We start from the raw sequence: 11,062 nt of genomic DNA on the forward strand, positions 1-11,062 counted from the left end.
TTAGGGCAGTGAAACTATTCTGTATGAGGCCAGGTACAGTGGCACATGCCTGTAATCCTAGTATTTTGGGAGGCTGAGGCAGGAGGATCACTTGAGGTCAGGAGTTCGAGACCAGCCTGGGCAACATGGTGAAACCCCGTCTCTACTAAAAATACAAAAAAAATTAGCCAGGCTTGGTGGCGCATGCCTGTAGTCCCAGCTACCTGGAGAGCTGAGGTGGGAGGATCGCTTGAGCCCGGGAGGTCAAGGCTGCAGTGAGCCGAGATTGTGCCACTGTACTCCAGCCTGGGTGACAAAGTGAGACCCTGTCTCAAAAATAAATAAATAAATAAAAATAAACGATTCTGTATGATACAACAGCAGAGGATGCATGTCATTATACATTTGTCTGAACCCATAGAATGTACATCGCCAACAATGAACCCTGATGTAAACTGTGGTCTCCAGGTGATAACGATGTGTCGGTGTCGGTTTCTCACTTACAACAAATGCACCACTCTGTGTGGGATGTGGTTGGTGTGGGAGGCTATGCGTATGCGGGGACAGGGGTTGCAGAAAAAAATCTCCGTACTTTCTAATCCGTTTTGCCATAAACCTAAAATTGCCCTTAAAAAAAGAGAGAGAGAGGCCCGGCGCGGTGGCTCACGCCTGTAATCCCAGCACTTTGGGAAGCCGAGGTGGGCGGATCACGAGGTCAGGAGATCGAGACCATCCTGGCTAACATGGTGAAACCCCATCTCTATAAAAATACAAAAAATTAGCTGGACGTCGTGGCGGGCTCCTGGTCCCAGCTACTTGGGAGGCTGAGGCAGGAGAATGGCGTGAACCCGGGAGGCAGAGCTTGCAGTGAGCCAAGATCACGCCACTGCACTCCAGCCTAGGTGACAGAGCGAGACTCTGTCTCAAAAAAAAAAAAAAGAAAAGAGAGAGAGAGAAGGGGCTGGGCACGGTGGCCACACCTGTAATCCCAGCACTTTGGGAGGCCAAGGCAGGAGGATTGCTAGAGCCCAGGAGTTTGACCTTACAGTGAGCTATAATCATGCCACTGCACTTCAGCGTGGGCGACAGAGGGAGACTCTGTCTCTACATTAAAAAAAAAAAAAAAAAAGGAAGAAGAAGAAGGGAGGGGGTACAGGTTGCTTTCAGAAAAGCTGAGAGGAGACCAGCCTGGCCAACATGGTGAAACCCCATCTCTACTAAAAGTACAAAAATTAGCCAAGCGTGGTAGTGCACACCTGTAATCCCAGCTACTAGGGAGGCTGAGGCAGGAGAATCGCTTGAACCCAGGAGGTGGAGGCTTCAGTGAGCTGAGATCGCATCACCGCACTCCAGCCTGGGTGACAGAGCAAGACTCCATCTCAAAAAAAAAAAAAAAAAAAAAATGCTGAGAGGTGAGAGAGAGAGTGCGCCAGCTGCACTTGAGGGGCTGAAAAGATCTGTGTAGTTGGAGCACAGAGGTTGGGAGTTAGCCTGAGAGATATGGCTGGAGATGTCAGCTGGCGCCAGATCAGGGAGGGCCATGAGGCTGTGTCAGGATATTGGAGATTTTTCCAGTGGAGAGCTGTGGGAGGTTTACGCAGCGGTCAGATCCGCAGATTAGAACACTCTCGCTGGCTGCTGTGTCCATGGATTGGAGAGGGCGGAATGGATGGGGGACCAGCACAGAGTTGGGGCAGTGGCAACAGGGTGGGGTCTGAAGGCAGCAACCTGGGGAGGCCTCTGGCTGCTGCTTGCTCCCCAGCTGCTCCTCTACCCTTCTAGAGTTTGTCCGGATGATGTCCCGCTGAGGCCGCGAGGGCCCCTCCAGGACTGCCAAGCTCCCAAAGGCGGGGCTAAGAGGAGCTAGAGCTTGCCTCACCCGCTGTAGCCGCCGAGAGCCCAGGATGTACTGGCGGATGGGGCCTGCCTGCACCCCGGGGAGGCGCCCACCCCGGACCCCCACCCCTCCGCACTGTGAAAGACTAACTCCTGCAACTGGAAAGCGGGGGCGCCCGCCGACGAGGAGGCCACCGTGCCAAGCCGGCAGAGGTCATGCCAGGCGCCAAGGGCCATGTGCCCAGCTGCTGCTGGCTGGGTGGGCCAGGGAGCCCGCCAGCAGACCCCACACAGCATGTCCGCCCCAGGGCAAAGCCTCCCACCTTCGCTCTGCGCCCGTCCCAGCTCGCCTCAGCCCTGTTATCTCAGAACCAATAAAAATATTTCCAAGAGCAAGACAGCCGTGATGGTCTTTCCTCCTTGGGCCTGGTTAGATGACCCTCACATTTCCTGAGTACCAACTGCATGCCCAGAACCTGCTGATCATTTTTGCATTCAGCATTTTTTGTTTGTTTATTTATTTATTTCGAGAAGAAGTCAAATGAGGGTTCTTTTGACCTTCCTGTGTTTTCTGTTTTGAGACAGGGTCTAGCTCCGTCACCCAGGCTGGAGTGCAGTGGCGTGATCTCAGCTCACTGTAACCTCTGCTTCCCAGGTTCAAGCGATTCTCCTGCCTCAGCCTCCCGAGTAGCTGGGATTACAGGCGCCCGCCACCACGCCTGGCTAATTTTTGTATTTTTAGTAGAGATGGGGTTTCACATGTTGGGCAGGCTGGTCTCAAACTCCTGATCTCAAGGGATCTGCCTGCCTTGGCCTCCCAAAGGGCTGGGATTCCAGGCGTGAGTCTCCATGCCTGGCCAACATGCATTTATTGAGTACCTATTATGTACTCAGTGACTTCCATTCTCATCCGTGGGCCAGAACCTGGGACTGCTAAGGGAGACTGAAGAATGTAGTTAGTTATTTAGCTGGGTACTCAGCTTCCCCAAACAAAATCAGGTTCTATAAGAAGAGAAGCATCCAGCAGAGTCTGTATCACTTCTGACTTTCTGGAACTTTTATACTGGTTGGAGAGACAGGCATGAGAGAAACACATCATATAGGATTACAAATTGTGATACTGCTATTGAGGAAAAATATAGGGACCTTCGGCAGGATATACTAAGGAGGCCTGGCCTCCTGTAGGGAGGTCAGAAAAGGCTTGCCCAGTGAAGTGATGTCAAGGGTTTTGCTCTGGAGGAAGTCCCAGTGTGTGCGGACAGACAGATATAGACACAGCTGCCACTGGCTGCGCGCCGTGGCTCATGCCTGTAATCCCAGCACTCTGGGGAGGCTGAGGCGGGAGGATCACCTGAGTTCAGGAGTTCAAGACTAACCTGACCAACGTGGCCTGTCTCTACAAAAATAGAAAAATTAGCCGGGCGTGGTGGCATGCACCTAGAGTCCCAGCTTCAGGAGAATCGCTTGAACCCAGGAGGTGGAGGCTGCAGTGGGCCGAGATCATGCCACTGGGTGACGGAGCGAGACTCCGTCTAAAAAAAGAAAGAAATAGCTGCCATCCTCTCTGCTGAGTGGGAGGAAGATGTGTAGCCAATAGGCCCAGGGTTTGCTTGCTGTGTGACTTAGGGCCAGTCGCGTCCCCTTTCTGAAGCTCAGTTTCTTCCTGTGTAATGTGGGGATGATAAAGGATGGGGTCAGTGCATAGCAAGTGCCCTCAGGGCATTGCACCACACGGCACACCCCAGGGACTGCTATTCAGACTGCAGTGGAATCATGCAATTGAAAAGACCCATTGTAATTCGTTTCTATAAGTGAAGTCTTAAAGCAGCCCAAAGGAGAAATCTGTGGGTAGAAGTTGTCGAGTCTTAGACAGGCTTGGAGCGTACTTGGGCAGGTGTGTGGGGTGGCCGGTGTACCTCAAGCCATTGGTTCCCAAATCTTAGCATACAGCAGAATTGCCTGGAGCATTTGTGAAGCCCAGATCTGGGCCACCCCCGCAGTGATTCTGATCCCATGTCTGGGGCGCAGTCCATGAATTTGCATCTCTTACAAGTTCCCAGAGGATGCTGATGCTGCCAGTCCATGGACAACAACCTGAATAGCACTGCTGTAAACCCCAGACACAAGGGAGGCTGGTGTGCCTCCAGGCAGCCAGGGGAGGCTGCGGGGTTGATGGCTGGGGGTGGGAGGTGGGCAGAGCATCCGCTGCCCGCTGTGCTGCCGCAGAGGGAGGATCCTTATTCTCAGACCTGGCAGGGAATGTGCAGGATCGTGGGCCCCAGCCAGAGGCCCGGGTAATCCTCACGTTCCCGAGGTCAGTGGGGCTGGGAGCTCCAAATTCACTCTAATAATCCAATTCTGAGACTAAGCCCTTGGCTCTGTGCCCTGCTAGGCAAGCCTGCAGCCCTGCCTGCCTCTGTACTAGCTTGGCTCCGCCCAGAGACTCCAGAGTTTCACTGTTTCAGAAACACAGTGGCCTTGGAGGGCAACCTGCGGGAAGAGGGCTTCTGTAGACATCTCTATCGGCTGGCAGGGTGAGCCCCCAGGAACACCACTCAGGATAGACTTAGGGATAAACTAGGACTTCTTTGTCCCCAGTGTGTGGCTGCCTAAAATCAAAGAAGTGGCAAGCCTGGCCAACATGGTGAAACCCCGTCTGTACTAAAAATACAAAAATTAGCCAGGCGTAGTGGGGCATGACTGTAATCTCAGCTATTAGGGAGTCTGAGGCAAGAGAATTGCTTGAACACGAGAGGCGGAGGTTGCAGTGAGCCGAGATCACGCCACTTCACCCCAGCCTGGGTGACACAGTGAGACTCTGTCTGAAAAAAAAAAAAAGAATCATAGATATGCCAGTTGTGATAAAGGAAATGGAGAATGTAGTCAGGCTACTGTTCAGAGGCCCCTTAATGCTCAGGGTAAGGGGAGGCCCAGGGCAGTCCTCCTGCCTCCTCCCCTGCTGAAGCTAGGACTCCTCCCCAGTAATTTGTCTTTTTGTTGGTTTGTTCATTTTAAAATTATTTTTATTTGCTTTTGTTTTTTGTTTTGGCTCCCGCCAGGAAACGTTTTTTTTTCTTTCTTTCTTTGTTTTAGAGACAGGGTCTCACTCTGGCACCCAGGCTGGAGTGCAGTGGTGGGATCATAGCTCACTGCAGTCTTGAACTCTTGGGCTCAAGCGATCCTCCTGCCTCAGCCTCCTGCATAACTAGGACTACAGATGCACACCAGCTGATTTTTAAATTTTTTTTGTAGAGACAGGGTCTCAATCTGTTGTCCAGGCTGTCTTGAACTCCTGGCCTCAAGGGATCCTTCCACCTCAGCTTCCCAAAGTGCTGGGATTACAGGCGTGAGCCACAGTGCCCAGCAACTTGTCTTATATTTTGGGGTTCCTAGTATGACTGTTTGAAGAAAGGGGTCTGAGACTTTTCAAGGACTGAGATGCACTTTCCTAGCCAAGAGTTCTTTCTGCAACCTGCACCACTACCTTCCCTGCTGGGGAGCTCTGGGTGTGTCATCTTAGAAAAGCTCTTTGTCTAAGGCCGAGCGAGGTGGCTCATACCTGTAATCCCAGCACTTTGGGAGGCCGAGATGGGTGGATCGCTTGAGGTCAGGAGTCTGAGACCAGCCTGACCAACATGGTGAAACTCCGTCTCTACTAAAAATACAAAAATTAGCCAGATGTGGCAGTTCATGCCTGTAATCCCAGCTATACGGGAGGCTGAAGGACGAGAATCACTTGAACCCGGGAGGCAGAGGTTGCAGTGAGCGGAGATTGCACCGCTGCACTCAGCCTGGGTGACAGAGTGAGACTTTTGTCTCGAAAACCAAAAAGAAAAGCTCTTTGTCTGAAAGCTCTTTTATTGCACCTGGATTTGCCTCCTGCTGACTCATAAAGGCCAATTTGTCTGCTCATTCATGCACACATGCACTTGATGTTTATTGAGCTCCTACTATGTGCCAGGCCCCATGCAAGACTTCCTGTCCTCAAGGAGTTCAGACTCTAGCAGGGCAAACAGATCAGAAACCAGAGAAATGTAATCTAGTGGCCTAAGTGCTACATATTAGTAGTACCCACTAGGTTAGCCTAGAGCCCTGGAGGTACATAAAAGGCACCCGATTCAATCTGGTGGGTGGGTGTGGGGAGGAATGGACAGATCTACTAGGACCTCAAGGATCAGCAGTGCTTAGTTAGGAGAGGTGGGCATGGTGGCTCATGCCTGCAATCCCAGCACTTCGGGAGGCCAAGGCTGGCGGATCACTTGAGGTCAGGAGTTCGAGACCAGCCTGGCCAAATGGTGAAACACCGTCTCTACTAAAAATACAAAAATTAGCCAGGCATGGTGGTGCGCGCCTGCAATCCCAGCTACTCGGGAGGCTGAGCAGGAGAATCACTTGGGAGGCAGAGGCTGCAGTGAGCCGAGATTGCGCCACTGCACTCCAGCCTGGGCAACAGAGCAAGAAATAGCAACCACTATTTCTGGTCTGGGAATAGCATATGCAAAGGCCCCGAGGTAAGGGAGAGTGTGGCCCTTTTGGGAAACTAAGTGGAATTTTGTCTAACTGATGTACTGGGCTGGAGAGAGGAGCAGAGAGAGGTGACGCTCAACAGGGAGGCAGGACCCCATCCCTCCGCAGACCTTGGAGTGTGGAGAGGCTCAGATGGGAACTCTGAGGGGCTGCCTTCTGGCATTAGCCAGGCCCACGGCCACAGAAACGCTGGTGCTATGAAGGGCTCACCTTTGGGGACAAATCTGTCCAGAAGATAGAAGAAAACCCAGGCAGCTGAGGGTAGCCAGGAGGCGTCCCCATAGCAGTGTGGTTAAAAGCATGAGTTCTGATCAAAAAGCAGAGAGCTAGGCTGGGTGCAGTGGATTGCACCTGTAATCCCAGTGCTTTGGGAGGCTGAGGTGGGAGGATCACTTGAAGCCAGGGGTTCAAGACCAGGTTGGGCAACATAGTGAGACCTCATCTCCACAAAAAATTTTAAAAATTAGCCAGATGTGGTTGCATGTACCTGTAGTCCCAGCTACTTGGGATGCTGAGGTGGGAGAATTGCTTGAGCCCAGGAGTTCGAGTCTGCAGTGAGCTATGATCACGCCATTGTATTCCAGCCTGGACAACCGAGCGAGACCCCATCTCAAAGACAGACAAACAAAAATACCAGAAAGCCAGACATTAGATACCACTGATGAGAGAACACAACACCAGCCCCTGGGGTTGCTGAAGGGATCAAATCTGAATCTGATCATGCCTTGAGATCCAGCCAGCAATTTGCAAAAAATCCAGGGGCAGAGAAACATGTTGAGCTGTACCATGAGGAGGACATCAGTTTTTGACATCCACAAACTCCAAACTGGGAAAAACAATACAGGTCAAATGGCTCATATTCTTCAAAGCAAATTACAAGAAAAAGAAAGAGATGGGCCGGGCATGGTGGCTCACGCCTGTAATCCTAGCACTTTGGGAGGCCGAAGTGGGCGGATCACCTGAGGTCGGGAGTTCGGGACCAGCCTGACCAACATGGAGAAACCCTGTCTCTACTAAAAATACAAAATTAGCCAGGCGTGGTAGCACAGGCCTGTAATCCCAGCTACTTGGAAGGCTGAGGCAGGAGAATTGCTTGAACCCAGGAGGCGGAGGCTGCAGTGAGTCAAGATAGCGCCATTGCACTCCAAAAAAAAAAAAAAAAAAGTGAACTTATAGATCAAAAGAGACTAAAAAGTATCGTGTTTTAAAAAGTGGGCCTGACTAAATGATAGTATGTAGGGATGTGCACTTGGGTGAAAAAAAAAAAAAAAACCACAAAGAAACCCAAGGGAGGCTGGGCGCAGTGGCTCACGTCTGTCATCCCAGTACTTTGGGAGGCTGAGGTGGGTGGATCACTTGAGGTCATGAGTTCAAGACCAGCCTGGCCAACATGGCGAAAACCCGTCTCTACTAAAAACACAAAAACTAGCCAGGCATGGTGGTGTGCGCCTGCAATCTCAGCTACTCAGGAGGCTGAGGAACGAGAATAGCTTGAACCTCGGAGGCAGAAGTTACAGTGATCCGAGATCGTGCCACTGCACTCCAGCCTGGGCGATACAGCAAGATTCCATTGCAAAAAAGAAAAAAAGAAAAAGATTTTTAAAAAGAAACCCAAGGGAATTATTACTATAAAAGTCAGGAAAGTGGTTGCTTTTAGAGAGAAGGAGGGAAAAAGCTATGATTGCAAAGGGGCACAGAGAGGAGCTTCTGGGGTGTCTGACAAAGTTCTATTTCTTAACAAGTAAGGTGATTACAAGAGTGCTTGCTTCATGATAATTCACCAAGTTGTACAATTGTTCTGTGTGGTTTTCTGTGTCTTATTTTACAATAAAAAAAATATCTAAAAAGGCCTGGCGTGGTGGCTCACACCTGTAATCCCAGCGCTTTGGGAGGCTGAGGTGGGAAGATCACGAGGTCAGGAGATCGAGACCATCCTGGCTAACATGGTGAAACCCCGTCTCTACTAAAAATACAAAAAATTAGCCGGGCATGGTGGCAGGCACCTGCAGTCCTAGCTACGTGGGAGGCTGAGGCAGGAGAATCGCTTGAACCCGGGAGGCGGAGTTTACAGTGAGCCGAGATCGTGCCACTCACTGCACTCCAGCCTGGGTGACAGGGCGAGACTCCATCTCAAAAAAAAGAAAAAAAAGTCTAAAAAAAACCAAGTGCAGGTTCAGGAGCCAGCTATCTGGTTTCCAATCTGAGCTCTACTACTTATCAGCCGCGTCATCTTGGGTAGGTTATAAGACTCTTGAGGTCTCAGCTTCCTCATCTGTAAAATGGAGATGATGTTATAGGGAGGCAGGAATTCTACTACTAAACCACCAGTGCTTCCTGACCAGGGGGATGATGTGATAGGGTTGTTCTGAAGATGAAACAAATTATTCTATGTGAAGCCTTTGGAATAGTGCCTGGCACGCAGTAAGCATCGTAAATGTTTTTGCTGCCTGGTGTGGTGGCTCATGCCTGTAATTCCAGCACTTTGGAAGGCCAAAGTGAGAGGATCGTTTGAGCCCAGGAGTTTGAGACCAGCCTGGGCAACACAGCAAGACCCCATCTCTATTTTAAAAAATTAAAAATTAGCCAGGGATGGTGGTGGGAATCTGTGGTCCCAGCTACTCAGGAGGCTGAGGCACAGGGATCACTTGAGCCCAAGAAGTTGAGGCTGCAGTGAACCATGTTCGTGCCACTGCACTCCAACCTGGATGATGGAACGAGGCCATATCTCAAAACAAAAAATTAAATAGAAGTATTCACTATCATTCTTGTCGGTTGTTATTCTCCAGTTGCCTACCACTCTCTCCCATGTGTCATCACGCCTCAGCGATTCCTTCTCAAGAAAAGGAGAAGAGAAAGTTGGGCATGGCATTCTTGAATGGCTATGGCAGAACCTCTTATTGACAGTGACAAGATAATCACAGCTTAAATCTGGGATCTGGCCCTAGACCAGGGAGGGGCTGTCTGCAAGGCAGCCCTGATCCTGCTGTGCCTGTAGCAGGAACTGCAGGGCTGGAGTATCCTTTCATCTCCCTGGAGGTGCCTGCTGCTTGCTTCTGCACTCCAGCTAATGGTTGTCTTTCCTACAGAGGGGACAGGGGTCTGAGTATCATGATTGAGGGATGAGCTCTGGTGTTAACAAGCACATGTTTTTTGGCAGGGCGGGGTAGCCATGCCTGTAATCTCAGCACTTTGGGAGGCCAAGGCGGGTGGATCACCTGAGGTCAGGAGTTCAGACCAGCCTGGCCAACATGGTGAAACCCCGTCTCTACTAAAAATACAACAAAAATTAGCTGGGCATGGTGGTGCGCACCTGCAGTCCCAGCTACTGGGGAGGCTGAGGCAGGAGAATCGCTTGAACCCGGGAGGCAGAGGTTGCAGTGAGCCAAGATCCCGCCACTGTGCTCCAGCCTGGACAACAGAGAGAGACTCTCTCTGCCAACACCCACCTCCGCCAAAAAAAAAAAACACCAAAAATACCAAGCATCTGGTTTCTGACCCCAGCTCTGCCACTTAAGGGAGTTAAGGGATGTACATGTATAGGATGTATGTGTGAAGGGAGTCCCTCACTGTTTATTTTTATTTTTAGTTTTTTTAAACATTAGTTTTTTGTTTTTTGAGGCAAAATCTCACTCTGTCACTCCTGCTGGAGTGCAGTGGTGTGATCTCGGCTCACTGCAGCCTCTGCTTCCTGGGTTCAAGTGATTCTCCCACCTCAGCCTCCCAAGTAGCTGGGATTACAGGTGTGCACCGCCACGCCCAGCTAAATTCTGTATTTTTAGTAGAGATGAGGTTTTACCCTATTAGCCAGGCTGGACTCAAACTCCTGACCTCAATTGATCCACCCGCCTCGACCTCCCAAAGTGGTGGGATTACAGGCGTATGCCACTGCCCCCGGCCATTATCTGTTATTAATGATAATAAATTATCTACCCTGTGGGGTGGATGTGAAGAAATTAACCCTTGCATAATGCTTAGTGGAGGGCCTGGCTCAGGGCCCTCACACATGCTGTTCCCTCTGCCTGGAGTGCTTTTCCTTGTACTCTTTGAATAGCTAGATCCTTCTCATTTCTGGAGTTGAACTTAAATGTCTTTTTCTTGACTTATCTTTTGAAGGAAGGACAGAAGTCACCACCACAGCTCATTTGTATTCTTCAGAGCACACATGAAATCTCTGGCCTGACATATTTATTGTACGACAATATGTTTGTATCTGCTTATTGTTTGAGGCTCCCTCCCCCTCACTAGAATGTAAGCTCCATGTTGGTAGAGACCATTTCTACCTTGTCCAGCATAGTGTCTTCAGTGTCTAGTAGGCACTTAGCAATGATTTATTGTATCAGGCAGGCACAGTGGCTCACACCTGTAATCCCGGCACTTTGGGAGACCAAGGCAGGCTGATCACCTGAGGTCAGGAGTTCGAGACCAGCCTGGCCAAAATGACGAAACCCCATCTCTACTAAAAATACAAAATTTAGCTGGGCGTGGTGGTGGGCACCTGTAATTCCAGCTACTTGGGAGGCTGAGGCAGGGGAATCGCTTGAACCTGGGAGGTGGAGGTTGCAGTGAACTGAGATCGAACCACTGCACTCCAGCCTGCATGATGAGAGGGAGACTCCATCTCAAAAAATAAAAAACAGCCTTGATTCCTAGTCTCATGGAGATAATAGTCTAGACTCTGCTGTCCAATATGGTAGCCACTAGCCATATGTGACTATTTAAA

General features: G+C 50.4%; 1 protein-coding gene across 8 annotated transcripts in view, besides 3 other annotated features; it reads left to right on the forward strand.

Moving 5' to 3' along the window:
- Positions 1 to 11,062, forward strand: part of CABP1 (calcium binding protein 1) — a 40,241-nt gene that overhangs the window by 24,488 nt on the left and 4,691 nt on the right. For 4 of the 8 annotated variants that reach the window (NM_001033677.2, NM_031205.4, NM_004276.5 and 1 more), the window contains one exon: positions 1,762 to 2,211. The exons of the other annotated variants lie outside the window; for them this stretch is intronic. In NM_001033677.2, coding sequence (NP_001028849.1) covers positions 1,762 to 1,787 — 26 coding nt within the window. In that variant the 3' untranslated portion in view covers positions 1,788 to 2,211. Of the gene's footprint in view, positions 1 to 1,761; positions 2,212 to 11,062 lie in introns of those variants that run through there. 8 annotated transcript variants of the gene reach the window in all.
- Positions 1,596 to 2,117: an enhancer, noted in NCBI's record as "H3K4me1 hESC enhancer chr12:121104512-121105033 (GRCh37/hg19 assembly coordinates)". NCBI's record gives its function as "activates a minimal SCP1, AML or CMV promoter by ChIP-STARR-seq in primed H9 embryonic stem cells {active_cell/tissue: H9 hESC(primed)}" and the evidence as "EXISTENCE:reporter gene assay evidence [ECO:0000049][PMID:30033119]".
- Positions 2,118 to 2,638: an enhancer, noted in NCBI's record as "H3K4me1 hESC enhancer chr12:121105034-121105554 (GRCh37/hg19 assembly coordinates)". NCBI's record gives its function as "activates a minimal SCP1, AML or CMV promoter by ChIP-STARR-seq in primed H9 embryonic stem cells {active_cell/tissue: H9 hESC(primed)}" and the evidence as "EXISTENCE:reporter gene assay evidence [ECO:0000049][PMID:30033119]".
- Positions 9,101 to 9,200: an enhancer, noted in NCBI's record as "active region_7146". NCBI's record gives its function as "activates an Ori minimal core promoter by ATAC-STARR-seq in GM12878 lymphoblastoid cells {active_cell/tissue: GM12878}" and the evidence as "EXISTENCE:reporter gene assay evidence [ECO:0000049][PMID:35858748]".

The sequence above is a fragment of the Homo sapiens genome, chromosome 12 (assembly GCF_000001405.40).
Source record: "Homo sapiens chromosome 12, GRCh38.p14 Primary Assembly".
NCBI classification, from domain to species: Eukaryota; Metazoa; Chordata; class Mammalia; order Primates; family Hominidae; genus Homo; species Homo sapiens.